This window comes from Homo sapiens, chromosome 5 (assembly GCF_000001405.40).
Source record: "Homo sapiens chromosome 5, GRCh38.p14 Primary Assembly".
In the NCBI taxonomy this organism is placed as follows: Eukaryota; Metazoa; Chordata; class Mammalia; order Primates; family Hominidae; genus Homo; species Homo sapiens.
The window spans coordinates 10,577,910-10,592,707 of record NC_000005.10 but is presented as its reverse complement, the minus strand read 5'-3'; the positions used below and the strand labels follow the sequence as shown (position 1 = coordinate 10,592,707).

The 14,798-nt window shown below is 43.9% G+C and overlaps 1 protein-coding gene across 1 annotated transcript in view, besides 4 other annotated features; it reads right to left on the bottom strand.

Annotated features, from left to right (window-relative positions):
• The window catches only part of ANKRD33B (ankyrin repeat domain 33B), a 93,747-nt gene that overhangs the window by 65,109 nt on the left and 13,840 nt on the right, over window positions 1-14,798 (bottom strand). The window lies entirely within an intron of this gene.
• Window positions 3,517-3,811: a silencer, noted in NCBI's record as "tiled region #12583; HepG2 Repressive non-DNase unmatched - State 22:ReprW". NCBI's record gives its function as "weakly represses a minimal TATA promoter and a strong SV40 promoter by Sharpr-MPRA in HepG2 cells {active_cell/tissue: HepG2}" and the evidence as "EXISTENCE:reporter gene assay evidence [ECO:0000049][PMID:27701403]".
• Window positions 3,517-3,811: an enhancer, noted in NCBI's record as "tiled region #12583; K562 Activating DNase matched - State 5:Enh". NCBI's record gives its function as "activates a minimal TATA promoter and a strong SV40 promoter by Sharpr-MPRA in K562 cells {active_cell/tissue: K562}" and the evidence as "EXISTENCE:reporter gene assay evidence [ECO:0000049][PMID:27701403]".
• Window positions 12,299-12,348: an enhancer, noted in NCBI's record as "active region_22364". NCBI's record gives its function as "activates an Ori minimal core promoter by ATAC-STARR-seq in GM12878 lymphoblastoid cells {active_cell/tissue: GM12878}" and the evidence as "EXISTENCE:reporter gene assay evidence [ECO:0000049][PMID:35858748]".
• Window positions 13,686-13,855: an enhancer, noted in NCBI's record as "active region_22363". NCBI's record gives its function as "activates an Ori minimal core promoter by ATAC-STARR-seq in GM12878 lymphoblastoid cells {active_cell/tissue: GM12878}" and the evidence as "EXISTENCE:reporter gene assay evidence [ECO:0000049][PMID:35858748]".

Genomic DNA, 14,798 nt, shown 5'->3' with positions numbered 1-14,798 from the left:
GCCAAGAAGCCTGGGGTCTCTCACTGCAAGCTCATCTGCAGGATTCTATTTTCTTTTCTTTTTCTTCTTCTTTTTTTTTTTTTGACAGAGTCTCACTCTGTTGCCCAGGCTGGAGTGCAGTGGTGCAATCTCAGCTCAGCTCATTGCAACCTCCACCTCCCGGGTTCAAGCGATTCTCATGCTCAGCCTTCCAAGTAGCTGGGATTACAGCCGCCACCACGTCCACCTAATTTTTTTTTTTTTTTTTTTTTTTTTTTAGTAGAGATGGGGTTTCACCATGTTGGCCAGGCTAGTCTTAAACTCCTGACCTCAGGTGATCCGCCCGCCCTGGCCTCCCAAAGTGCTGGGATTACAGGCATGGGCGCCACCGCGCCCAGCCAGGATTCTATTTTCTATCACATATATGCTCTGTTTAACAAAAATAAGAGACAAGGAAAGTAGAATACTAACAAGAATAAAGTTTTCCCACAAATTGGTGAGAAGAAAATAAAGCAGATGGCCCAAAATAAGACCCTGTCTTTAAAGGGGAACATGTGTTAAAGGAGCAATCTGGGCAGTGATGGATGACTCAACCAACATTGCTGGAAAAGTTGATTACTGAGCAGTAAACACACACACACACACACACACACACCATAAAATCAAAAGATAATACAAAAGGACTAAAAAGTCAAGGGTATAATATATATACATACATACATACATACTTATATCCTAAAATAGTTTACTGATGGAGAAAAGAGATTCAAAAGCTAAAAATAATAAGATAACAATAAATATACAATGTAAGTTACTATATAAATACAATATTCCCTTATATCAAAATTATAAGTAAAATTGAAAGAAAAATGAAAAAGCAATCAAGATTAGTGACATTCACAGAATGATTTAAACAGAAATATTATATTGAATATCAGCATAAATACACCAAGAGTACAATTTTTCAAGGGTAAAGGAATGAGTAGAAAAACCAAAAAATAGCAAAAAGCCAGTAAATACATGTAAAATATACATAATCTTACTAGTAAGCAAAATAATGTAAATTAAAATATTAATGAGACACCATATGCTTAACAATAAATATTACATTTCAGATCTTCACAAAAGATGAATTCATTAATAGTTCTGGACAAAAGTCCCAGTCATACGGAAAAAAAATAAGGTTGGATCTTTATCTCACATCTCAGGCTGAAATGAATCATTAAATATTCAATCATAAAAACACTAAAAAGGCTCGGTGCGGGACAGCACTCTGGGAGGCCAAGGGTGGCAGATCAAGAGGTCAGGCGTTCGAGACTAGCCTGGCCAATATGGTGAAATCCTGTCTCTACCAAAAGTACAAAAAAAATTAGCCAGGCATGGTGGCACGCACCTGTTGTCCCAGCTACTCAGGAGGCTGAGGCAGGAGAATTGCTTGAAACTGGGAGGGGGAGGTTGCAGGGAGCCCACATGGTGCCACTGCACTCCAGCCTGGGCAACCGAATGAGACTCCATCTCAAAAAAAAAAAAAAACCACTAAAAAAAATGTAGATGACTATTTCTATAAACCTGGCTTAGAAACAGCATTTTGAAGCAATAGAGCAAGGCCGGAAACCATAAAGAAATAGATACATCTGACTGTATAAAAATTTAAACCTTCTCAGCAAAACAGTGTAAAGAAAGTAAAAAGGCAAATGACAGGGACTCTCACTTTCAGCTCTGAGAAACTGGCTTCAATCAGAGGCACTTTTCCCCTGAGAACAACTGAATACTTTTTTTCCCTAAATATCCATTTGGAGGCATCCAGTTTCCAAGACGACCAGGACTTGCAGGCCTGATTGTATTCCAGAAAGAAGGCGGAAATCCTGAGATAAGCTTCCATTCTCATGGCTTTCCCTAAGGGCATTTGCTGAGTAAGGCTGGGTGCTGAGAAACCAAGCAGAGAGCAGTAGTGAAGGGTAGGAGGAGCTAAGCAGAGTTGGTCATACTCTCGAGGGTTTGCAGGGAGGGGTATCCAATCTTTTGGCTTCCCTGGACCTCAATGGAAGAAGAATTGTCTTGGGCCACACATAAAATATACTAACACTAACACTGGCTGAAAACACACACACACACACACACGCGCGCGCGCGCGCGCGCATCTCAAAATATTTTAAGAAAGTCTACAAATTTGTGTTGGGCTGCATTCAAAGTCATCCTGGGCCTCATGTGGCCCGCAGGCCAGGGGTTGGATAAGCTTGGGTTAAGGAGACAAAAGTGGTATTCATGATCTGCCCAGGCCATATTTCTATAGGAAGCCAAAAGGGCTATATCCTACAAGACAGGCCAGAAAGAGGCCAGATCTTATAAAAACTACAACCTAGACTGCAATCTTCTGTCCCACTCTGTCTGCCAGAAGCAAACTAAATCCTCCCTGGACAAGATAACACAATCTAGTGCTACTTCAATTTTCATACACAATGTCTAGCATTCCAAAAATTACCAGATGTATCAGGAGACAGGGCCAAGAGAAAAACAGAAAATAGAAAACATCCCCAGAAGATCCAGAAATTAGAACGATCAAGCTTTAAAATAACTAATATGTAAAAGCAAATAATGACAAATGAGGAACTTTATTACAGAACTAGAATCAATAAAGAATCAAAAATTTTAGAAATACAGCATAATTGAAATTAAGAATGTAAAAAGCAATTAAATAGTAGATTAGGGTAAAGATATGATTAGTGAATCAAAAGATAAGTTTAATCAAAAATGCCCAGAAAATTAAAAAAAAAAAAGATTTAAAAGATAGGAAGAAAAGCATAACATACACAGGCAGCATGGTATAAAAGGTCTAATGTGTGTGAATTTGGTGTCACAGGATAGGAAGAAAAAGGGATTGGAACAAAAACAATATTTGACAAGATAATGGCAGAGAATTTTCCAAAACTGACAAGAGATATCAAGCCGCATATTCAGGAAACTCTATAAACCCCAAACAAGATTTTTTAAATGACAAATTAGAAAAAGAAGGCAGAATATAATAACTTTAGCATATGTAAAAAAATCCTTAGACCTCAAGAAGATAAGACAGACTAATCAAAAAATTGACAAAGGAATTGGTAAATTAGTTCAAAGAAAGAAATACAAAGGGCTAGTAAACATGTGATATGAAATATGTCTCAGCCTCACTAATCAACAAAAATGCACAAATAAAAGTGAGGTGTCATTTTTTGACAAGTTGGAAAAGAGTAAACAGAGTCAAATTAATTGGTGTTGGCAAAGTGTAGAAGGAAATGTACTCCCTTACCTTGCTAGAAAGCTTCAGTGTTGTAATGTTAAGTGAGATGGTGAGGCTTGGTGTAGTCAGGTGCAGCACAGTGAGGGACACTCAGACTGCAAAATGAATCAAGTTTACTACTCACAGGTCTGGAAGGAAGAGGACAGCACCCCTGGCAAGACCAAAGAGAAGAGGGGAGGAGCCATCCAGGACCTGCTCCTTCGACCAGCAGGTGGGGAACGAGAAACGGAGGGGCCTGTGGGTTGGATCCTTTATGGGGTTACCTAGGTGGGTTTCCCACAGCACGGTTGGATTAGTTCATTTGAAGGAAGCACGAGACTCAGCACAGGAACTCGGGGGTTACCTTATCAGGTTCCCGAGGCTTAAAGCAGAAGTAATGTGGTCAAGCAGCTCAGGGTATGGGGTCTTATCTACCCAGAACATGAAAACAGGAGCTGCGTGAAGACTGCCTCAAAATATGTTAGTCAAGCATGACAAGCTGGGAACAGGACAAGCAGATGGACGCTGAGGCAGTATTCATATGCATAAGTGATGACAATAAGCAAGTTCACTCTCTCTAGGGAGCCACTAGCTAATATGCACTCAGGCTGAGTTAGACTGTGCAGCAGAACAAGCAATCTCCACATCCCAATGGCATACGACAAACGTCTGCTTCCTGCTCATGCCACATGGTTGGCATGCAGCTTTTTTCCACATTGTTTTCCCTTGCAAGACTCAGGCTGATGGAGAAAACTCTACCTGGAAAATTGTGGGTTGCCCGGAAGAGGGGAAAAAGGATATGGCAAATCATACGCTGGATTTTAAAACTTCTGGCCAAAAGTTACACAAGTCACTTCTCACTGAATTGGCCAGAGCAAGTGACATGGCCAAGTGTGATGTTATGGGGAGGAAAGTCTAATCCTACCTTAGGGAAAGGCACATTTACTTTCAAAAATAAGAGAACTTACTCCACAGATCGAAACAAAATCTAACAATTTCCTAAGAGAGTCAGTAGGTTTCTGTACAAAGATGTGCAAATCTCTGTGTTGTTACTAATCTGCAAACCAGAAATAACCTCAATGTCCACTAGGAAGCCACAGGTTAAAGAAACGAACATATCCAGAAAGAGTACATTGTGGTCATTAAAAACGACATGTATTTGCTGGCAAAGAAAGGTGCCCTCATGAAGGTGCTAAGGAAAAAAGATTATAAGTACCGTATTATATTAAATGTCGCTAAAGTTATACCTCAAATACATAAGTATGCCTAGATCATGAATTCGCAGTCACTTTTTTATCATCTTTGGCATTTTACCTTTTTATGTTATCTGAATATTTTACAATAAGTATGCATGACTTAATATTTTGAAGATCAGCAAAGCCGTTTCAACATTTTTGATAATTAACATTCAGTGTCATGAGGATATAGTGAAACAGGCAATTTCATACCCTGTTGGTGGAAGGAAAACTGGGTACAATAATAACATACCAATAATATACCTTCTTGGAATTGATCTAAACAGAACTGCCCAGAGAGCCAATAAGAGACGTATTTAGACATTCATACATCAGAGCATTATTTATATCACAAAAAATTTCAGAAACAAAAAAGACCCAAAATTACTGAATAAACTATGATATATGCAGAAGTTGGATTTTTAAAATCAAGATTCTGAAGTATTTCTAATATAGAAATACCCCTACAAGTGAATAAACCAGGACTCAAAACTTTATTTATAGATAGATAACTTTACAGATAGCTAATCTGGCAGAGCATATATATTTCACAGCACAAGTCAGAAAAGAACACCGAAAAATTCACTATCATTAGCTCCAGGTACTGGGAATACAGGTGACTGGTTTTTGTTTTTTTCTTTGTACTTCTCTTTTTTTTTTCATTTTCCACACCAAAAAAAAAAAAATTGTATCAGAAGAATAATAAAATACCTAATAAATATTACTATTCAATGTTGTCCGAGTAAAAGAATAAGGATCATGTTGTGAATGTGATCATTCACAGTGAAAATAAAGTAACTCTACTCAGAAAGATCTTTAACATCACTAAAATCTGGCCGGGTGTGGTGGTTCACATCTGTAATCCCAGCACTTTGGGAAGCTGAAGCAGGCGGATCACTTGAGGTCAGGAGTTCAAGACATGTCTGGCCAACATGGTGAAACCCCGTCATTACTAAAAATACAAAAATTAGCCAGGCAGATCACTTCAGGTCAGGAGTTCGAGATCAACCTGGCCAACATGGTGAAACCCCATCTCTACTAAAAATACAAAAATCAGCCGGGCATGGTGGCGGGCGTCTGTAATCCCAGCTACTTGGGAGGCTGAGGTGGGAGAATTGCTTGAACCCAGGAGACAGAGGTTGCAGTGAGCCAAGATCGCACAACTGCATTCCAGCTTGGGCGACAGAGCGAGACTCCATCTCAAAATAAATAAATAAATAAATAAATAATAAATAAAATCACTAAAATTGGAAACACTCTCCCACAATGAAAACTTCACATACCCCCAACACTTCACTGCTTTTTTAAATTCAGTAGGCTAAAGAGTCTCCCAATTTCTTAGCTAAGTAAATACTGCTGTTGATTTAAAAGCCAGGCAACACATGAATAATAATGTCCTGGTCTATGTAAATGTTTCAGAAAAGGCCCATATTTGCAGTGCTGTTAAAAGCCAGGAAACAAATGAGTAATGTCCCAGAATATGTAAATGTATTGGAAAAGGCCATGTTTGCACTGGAAAGATCCCTCACCAATTGAATCTGGCTGTGACTGCAAGATACCAAGAGCAATTTCCTAAATTGCGCATTAAGATGCCACACAGCAAAACTTATTCAGCACTAAAAGACTGAAGATGAGAACTGTTTGTTGGTCTGAATGTCCTCTTATAAACTGTATGGAAAATAAAGAGAAGAAAGCAGTATACACACACACACACACACACACACACACACACACACACACACACACACAGTTACAAGAACCCAACGCACATCGTATTCTCACAGTGTATCAGGTCTAAACAAGAACTTCCAATCAAGTAGAGAGCCACTGGCTGTGGCACCAACACCAGCCTTTTCTTTCTTCTTCATATAGGGCTGTGTTACAGTTGAACCTTAAACAACTCTTGAACTGTCAGAGTACACTTATAGGTAGATTTTTTTCAACCAAATCGTGGGAAGTGAAATCCACCTACAGAGGGCTGACTCTGTATACAGGGGCTCCACAAAGCGGATTGTGGGACTTGAGTATATGCAGATTTGGGTATAGGTGGGGGAGTCCTGGAACAAATTCCTCACGTGTCCTGAAGGATGACTGTATTTCTCGGTGTTACATAATGGAAGAAAGAAATGCTATGCAATTAGCATGGAGCAGAGACAACAGAGAAACTCCCAAGACCCACAAGAACATAGAATTCAGGGTCTTCACCACAGCCTATGTTGCTGCCTGTTGGGTCCTTGATGATAGAGCCCCGTGGCTTGTACTTGTCTTGGCCTCCAGTCTCCTGCGGAAAGCCTGGCACAGGGAAGCCATCACCAAAACTCTGGGATGGGCGAAGGACTGATGGATGCAACTGCTTCAGGTGAGGACAGAGAGGAGGGGCCCTGCAGTGAGTCCCATCTGTCAGACCCTGGACCCACAGCTCTGCTTTACGCATGACCCCATGGCCATGAGGCCATGACCCCATGACCCCATGCTTTATGCCATTGGCACAGCGCCCTCACCCAGCATGGTAACCCATCAAACACCTGGGCCCGGGCATTGTCTTTCATGAGGGCTCCCAGCAAGGCTACAATCCAGACATCTCCAGCACACCTGTTAGCCACACAGGCCTTTGGGCAGCCACATCTCCAGGGCTGACAGAGGAAGCCACAAACACCCAGGAAGTGCTTTCTAATTCCAGGTGTTTCTCAGTGCGTTTCTTTTCCCTAGAACAAGCAAAGCCACATGCTCCACAGACCCCATCTAATCACATGCTTAAACTCCCTTTGTCAAATGGAAATGACTGTGGAGACTCGAAGTCAGACCTAAGACGTCTAAGTTAAGGACCACAGATCAGCATCCCAAATATGGATTTGTCCATCAAGGACAATGTTTAGGGGACCTCAGGTTCCAGCTCTGTAGGCATCCAGGAAAACACTTGTTGATTTAAACAAACACTGAAAAGGCATTGATCTAAGTAAGCACAATGTAAGAGACGAGCTCACCACAACCAGAGCCTAAGAAGATCTGCCCTGGAAGACTGTGTCCACTTCAAAGAGGACCAAACTTCAACACGACGCCAGCAGAGCTCTCACTTACCACTGGAGTTGGGTCTTCTTCCTTCCCCTCCAGCTCTCCTTACCCAAGTCTGTCCTTCCCTTTGTGAGTAAAGCACTGGTCACTTCTGACCTCATCTCCTGCCCTCTCCCCATGGTGCTCTGCTGTAGTCCCTCTGACCTCTGGCTCTTCTAGAACATTCCAGCTCTACCACCTGCTCCACCAGCCTGGAAGGCTCTTTCCTAGACCTCCAAACAGCAAGACTTTCACTTCCTTCCAGGTCTTTACTCAAAGGTTCCTTCCTCAACGAGGACGGAAATTTTCAGCACCAGCCCAGTGCTGCAAAACCCTTTCCCTGCCTACCTTATCCCATCTCCTGAGCACTTGCTCCCTCCTGAGAAGAGGTGCATGTATTTGAGCTTGTTATTGTTTCTCACCCCCAAAATCACGTAAGCTCCACTTCAGCAGCAATCTCCATTTCTGTCTGGCATTCTGTCCCCTAGAACAGCGCCTGGCACAGGTACCCCTGTCCAATAAATATTTGCTAAATAAATAAATACATTAAACTGAAAAAGAGGCAACTTCATGCTGAATCAAGAGGCTTATTTAATGCAAATTGTTTTGTGACATTTCTTTTTTTTTTATTATTTTTTTGAGACAGGGTCTTGCTCTGTCTCCCAGGCTGGAATGCAGTGGCATGATCATGGCTCACTGCAGCTTCAACTTTCCAGCTCAAGTGATCCTCCTGCCTCAGCCTCCAAAGTAGCTAGGACTATAGGCATGTACCCCCACATCTGGCTAATTTTTGCATTTTTTGTAGAGACAGGGTCTTACTATGTTGCCCAGACTGGTCTTGAACTCCCAAGCTCAAGTGATCAGCCCACTTCAGCCTCCCGAAGTTCTGGGATTACACGCATAAGCCACCGCCCCCAGCTGACAGTTCTTTTTAAAGGGAGAATTCCAACAGAGAAAGTGCCTGCTTGAAGTGTTATTAGTTCATAAAAATCACTTTGAAAATCAAAGCCAAATGTATGATTTCTTGGTAAAACACGTGTCATGTGGTTCTGTTAGGCATAAAACAGTCATCTCTGGCCCCTCATTAATTTCCTGTCAATTACATTTTCACCGGGCAGGTGGCAGCTGCCACCACTCGTCTTCTAGGCTGCTCACGCCGGGCACTGGGTAAACGTGGCAGGATGTCCTCGAAAGACCGACTGTGATCTTCGGAGGGATATTTCATGCCTCCTGGGGTTAATCTCCTCAGATTACACTTTTAAAAGCTCCCTTGTCTTATTACAACTCCAAGAGAAAAATACAGTCAAATGTTAAGATTCAAACAACAACAAACACTCCAAATCACAAAGAGAGAAGCATTTACAGAGCCAGGAATTCTAATTATAGGTATTTTCCATCTTACAGAATAGGACCGCCTGTTGGAAGGGCTGGTAAACACAATTTTCCTACCAAAGTACATAAATTCTTTAACTGTAAAAAACACCTGACAAAACTCTTGGTGAGGAAGAGGCAGGAGAGAGCAGCGAGGCGTGCCAAATACCACAGATCCTTCCAGGTAAGAAGGCACTCAGGTTCACAACTCCAACAATCTTACTCCCTTCAGTCTCTATCCCTATTCCAGTGACTTCAACAGGAGAAACTGGCAATGTCTGGAGACTTTCATTGTCACAGAGGGGAAGGCACTGGTGCTGGCATCCAGTGGGCAGGGGCCAGGGATGCTACTCAGCACCTTGCCATGCACAGGACGGGTTCCCACAGCAAAGGATTATTAGAACCAAAATGTCCACAGTGCTGAGACCTATCCTATTTTTAAGAATTTTCAAAATAGTATATGTAACTGGCAACAGGGCACGATACTTGAATCATGTTCAAAAAGCAGGGACAGGTCGGGCGCGGTGGCTCGCGCCTGTAATCCCAGCACTTTGGGAGGCCCGGGGAGGGAGGATCACCTGAGGTCAGGAGTTCAAGACCAGCCTGGCCAACATGGGGAAAACCTGTCTCTACTAACAATACAAAAAAATTACCCAGGCGTGGTAGCATACACCTGTAGTCCCAGCTACTCGGGAGGCTGAGGCAGGAGAGTTACTTGAACCCTGGAGGTGGAGGTTGCAGTTAGCCGAGATTGCCCCACTGCACTCCAGCCTGGGCGACAGAGCAAGATTCCATCTCAAAAACAAGAAAAAAAAAAAAAAAAGCAGGGACAATCATCCACCAACCATGTGCGACAAACTGCCGGACTGCACAGGGCAGAAACTGAATGAGGTTGAGCATCTCCCTCATGGAGCTGACCAAGCTTCAAGAGAAAATATCCACCAATCAATATAAAACAACGCAGAATGAAAGGCATCTATACCAAGTTGCGAACTGCGATGAGGGTCCAAAGTCGGGGAAGCCATGCGGCAAAGGAGCCCACGGGAAGTCCATGGGAGGGGAACTCTGAGTGGCCTTGCAGTCAAAGGAGGGACAGGTGTGTGGTCCATGGGGAACAAGGATCCACCATGGCGGAACAGGGAGCAGGCAGCACAGCGCACAGCTGGGGGACAGCAAGTCACCTGGCTTCTGTGACACAGAGGGAAGCATCTGGAGAACTGTTGGGAGGAGCCCTGCAGGGAGAGTTTCCAAAGACAATGCTGTTGTTAAAAAGAAAATAAAAAAGCCACATACATGAAGATAAATCTAGAAGTGGCAGCAGAACAGACTGGTGAGAGACTCCAGGGCGGGGGGTTATAGCACTTGCTTAAGTGAGACCCCAGTGAAATGTGGGAGACCATCATGGTGGACATCCCCCCCGCTTGGGAAATGACTGGATACAGGAGATGAGGAAGGCTGGGCTGACTCTAGGATTGTAAACACGGGCAGCCAGAAACGCAGGGACAGCTAGGACCAGCTCCGTACTTTGCAGCCCCAGTACAAAATGAAAATGCAGGCCCTGGTTCAAAACCATTAAGAATTTCAAAACAGTAACAGCAGAGTGTTACATCAGACATAGGGCCCTTTTAAGCACAGGCCTGTGAACTGGACAGGCTGTATACCCAGGAAGCTGGCCCTGGAGGCAAAAGGAATACGTTAAGAAGGAGATGCTGGGGGAAGACTGGCAAGAGGAACTCTGCACATGAGGCTGAATGCACACATGACTCTTAGGAAAGTGGTCCAGGGCTGAGAGCTGGCACCAGCTGCGTGAGCCTGAGGAGGCTCTGCCAGCAGACAATGTTCCTATGGGAATGCATAAGTCAGGGCTCTCCAGAGAGACAGAACCAAGAGGAGATACAGACATAAAGAGATTTATTTTAAGAAACTGGCTCATGAGATTGTGGGGGCTGGCAAGTCCAAAATCTACAGGGCAGGCAGGCAGGCTGGAAACTCAGGCAGGAGTTGAGGCTGCAGCTTTGAGGCAGAATTTCTTCTCCTCCAGGAAACCTCAGTTTTTGTTCAACTGATTGGATGAGGTCCACCCAAATTATAGAGGGTAATCTCCTTGACTTAAAGTCAACTAATTGTAGATGTTAACCACAGCTACAAAATACCTGCACAGGAACACCTAGACCAGTGTTTGACTGAATACCTGGGTACTGTGGCCTAGCCCAGCTGACTCATAAAACTAACCATGACAGGGAGTAAAGAGGCCAGCCTATGAAAAGTGCCTCATGGAACAAAGGAAGGGAAACCAGACCATCCAGGGGAGACCAAAAATGAGCAGTGTAAAGAAGCAAAAAGCAAAAAGAGGCTCCCGGATCCAGGGTAGAGGATCCCAGACGCAGAGCAGTTCCTAGGAGCCACGGTGTTGGCGAGCCCAGAGGGCCAGGCCACCGTGCACCTCAAACAGGCTGCTCTCCCCTAGGACACCTGGCTGAAAGGCAGGGGGCCAAGGGAATCTGAGACTCTGCCCTGGCATCCCAGTCCCCAAAGCAGGTTTGTCATCATGTTCCAATTCTGACAATAGTGCCCAAAACACTGGGGGAGGAGGAGGCAGCCCTGCCAAGGTCATGAGAAGTCTCAGTGGCTGGGATGGGGAAGAAATCAGGACTTAAGGGGTGGGACCAGGCCCCAGGCACAGATGCTTTCATGACACCCACCAATAAAGCCAATACACACTGCAGAGAAGCAGCCTGAGAAGGCAGAAGCCCTGGGCTGGCAAGGGCAGAACCAGCCCACCCCAAGGCTGGAGGCAGGACGAGGACATGGGACCCACCGACTGGCAGCCCTTTGGCCTTGGGAAGCAGAAGACTTAGAGGACCTGCCAGAGCCCAACCCACTGCCAAGTGAGTTTGGAGTGTTGGGTTGGTTTTGTTTTTAATGACAGGAGGGATCTAAATATGTTCATGAAAAGGAGGGAAAGAACCAGAAGAGAGGGAAGGATGGAAGAGGCAGTGGGAGGAGGCCACTGAAAAGACCTGGTCCAGGGGCAAGTCCGGACCAAAGCCACTGGCAAAAGCAGATTTCTGTCAACATCTCTCCACTCCCGAGTCCCTCCCAAGCCTCACCCCCGACACCCCACCAAAGGCAAAGCCAACTGGCCTACTCTCCACAGAGCTGCCCCCACCCCAAACCGGAGGCAGGACCAAGAAAAGAAAGAAAAGAGTGAGAGAGAACAGACAAGATCCAGAGAAACCAACTGCAACCTTCTCTTCAGAAAAGAAAGCAGGGTAGAGAAAACCTGAAGGGTGGCAGGGTGGGGCTGGGGGTGGGGGACAAGAAACATCCATGGTGCTCAAACTCGAGCAGGCAACATAATCCGCTGGAGGGTTTGCTCAATACTGAGTGCTGACCCTGCTGCCCCAGCAAGGGGTCTAGGGTGAGGTCCCAAGTGAGGCTGGGTGGGGACCACACTCGGAGGACCTCTGCAGCGACAGGTCAGCAAACCAACTAGAGATGAATGAGCAGACAGTGTGGCCCAACGCTCAACACAGAATGAGTCAGACTTAGGGCTCTGCATACTTTAAAAGACTCAGCCCCTCATCCTCCACTGTAATTGACAGGTAATTTATGGTGAGACCCTTGCAGGTAGAACCCACATATGTCTTGCATGTGGCAGCCACTCCTGGTGGTGGAGTGATTGTCCTACTCTCTTACTGAGGAAAATGTCAAGATAGGGGGACATAAAATTACAGGGATCTGGTTCTTTCATAAAAATCCTCCCATAAATCATGTAAACAGGCAGACAGAGTAGATTAATGGTTGCTTAGGGCTGGAGGGGGTGGGGAATAGAGGGTAAAAGCTAAAAGGTATGTGGTTCTTTCTGAATTGATGAAAATGTTCTGAAATTAACTGTGGGGATAATTGTACAAATCTGTGAACATGATAAAAACCACGGTAGACATTAAACGGTTAAATTGTATGGTATGTGAATTCTGTATCAATACAGCTGTTATTTAAAAGGTTCCTTTTTCTTCACTTTCAAATTGCTTCCTTTTACTATGCTTTTTGGGGATTTCCCATTACTTTGACCTTTCTCACTAGGTTTCTTTAAAAAAAAAAAATTCTGTTCCTAGTCATCCCGTGACTACTTATTTTAATCATTTAATACTACTCATTTAATTTTTTAAATCATAAGATAGAATCCCATCAATTTTTAGAGCTAGAGATCATCTATATGTGCACTGATTAATTTTCCAGGTAAAGAACCTGGTATTTTTTGAGTGAAAGTGACTTTTTCAAAGTCATGCACAAGTAGTTCTATTCAGAAATTTTAAAAACTACATACCTCTTCTGCAAGTGGAAAGACATTCAAAATACAGAATTTCAAAATTATCCCTTCAGCACCTGATTTGTGTTTTAATAAAGTTCAGGAAAATCTATTCTTTTCCAAATGGTTTTTCCAAAAAAAAAAAAACCATTACTTAGCAGGCTTCTTGGATGTTATTGATAGGAAAAATAGCCTTCCTGTCTATGTTAGAACTCACACACCCAAACCAATCCATAAGAATGATATGAGTATTTAAGTATTTTCAAGGTCCCTCTACCAGATTAAAACTGGGGAATTAAAAAAAAAAGGAGAGAGTATCTTTTTTTTTTTTTTTTTGAGACACAGTATCACTTCCCTTGCCCAGACTAGAGTGCAGTGGCGCGATCACGGCTCACTGCAGCCTTGACTTCCTGGGCTCAGATGATTCTCCAACCTCAGCCTCCTGTGTGGTTGGGATTACAGGTGCATGCCACCATGACCAGAAAACTTTTGTATTTTTTGTAGAGATGGGGTTTCGCCATGTTGCCCAGGCTGGTATTGAACTCCTGGGCTCAGGCAATCCACCCACCTCAGCCCCTCCAAGCGCTGGGGGATTATAGGCATGAGCCACTGCGCCCAGCCAAGAGTATCTTAAGTATTCTTAGACCCAATAAAATTATTAGTAGAGTCACTGTAAGTCACTATCTCTAAAAAATGAGATAGGTTTGGGGTTTTTCAAAATTAACTCAATATACTTGTGCCTCATAAACAAACCCAACGGTTCAGATTTGTTTACACTTGATAAAATTTAAAAATGATTATTTCTATTAAAAAGAAATTGACCGTAGCTTCTCTAGCATATCTTAACTGAATTTTTTTCAAGAAATGTATTTAATCTACATTTCCCCAACTCCAATCCAGCCCCACCCTCCACCCCATGGGCCCTCTCTGATCAAGGGCTGTCCTATCTCCCAAAATCCCCCCAAGAAGATCTATCTGTCCTGTGTCCCCATGCGGGTCCTGCCCTTGGCTGGGTGATGGCTTTCTTGTGTGATAAAAGAATCCAGTATAAGGGACTAAGTTTAGTCCAGTGCTTCCTTCCAGATAATGTAACTTAACATGCTGCTTTCCTCCAAAGTCAGGGGCCAGATAGTGCTAAAGGAGAAATTCTGCTGTTGGTGGGTCCTTCAGCTTCTCTTAGGCAGCACTCTGTGTGCAGCCTCAACCTAAGGGTGGCCTTGTACATAGGCAGGTTGACTAACCATCCCAGTTTCCTGGGGACAGAGGGGTTTCCCAGGATACAGGATTTTCAGTGCTAAAAACAAAAAACCGGAAAGTCCCAGGCAAACTAGAATGAGCTGATCATCTACAGGGTCTGTACTTGCAGCTGAAAGTGGCCTTCCACCCATCACAGTGTGTGAAAGAGCCTCAGAGATGGCCTGGTGCAGTTCACTCTTCAACAGAGGACATATAGGTGACAAGGCACTGCCCCTTTCCCCACTCCTGAAGGCCCCTCACAGGCTGTGCCAGCTTCCTGAAACGCGACTCTTAAGTGTCTAGGGCCTTTGTACTCCCAAGGAAACAGGTCCCCCTAAGACCTGGACCCTCCAAA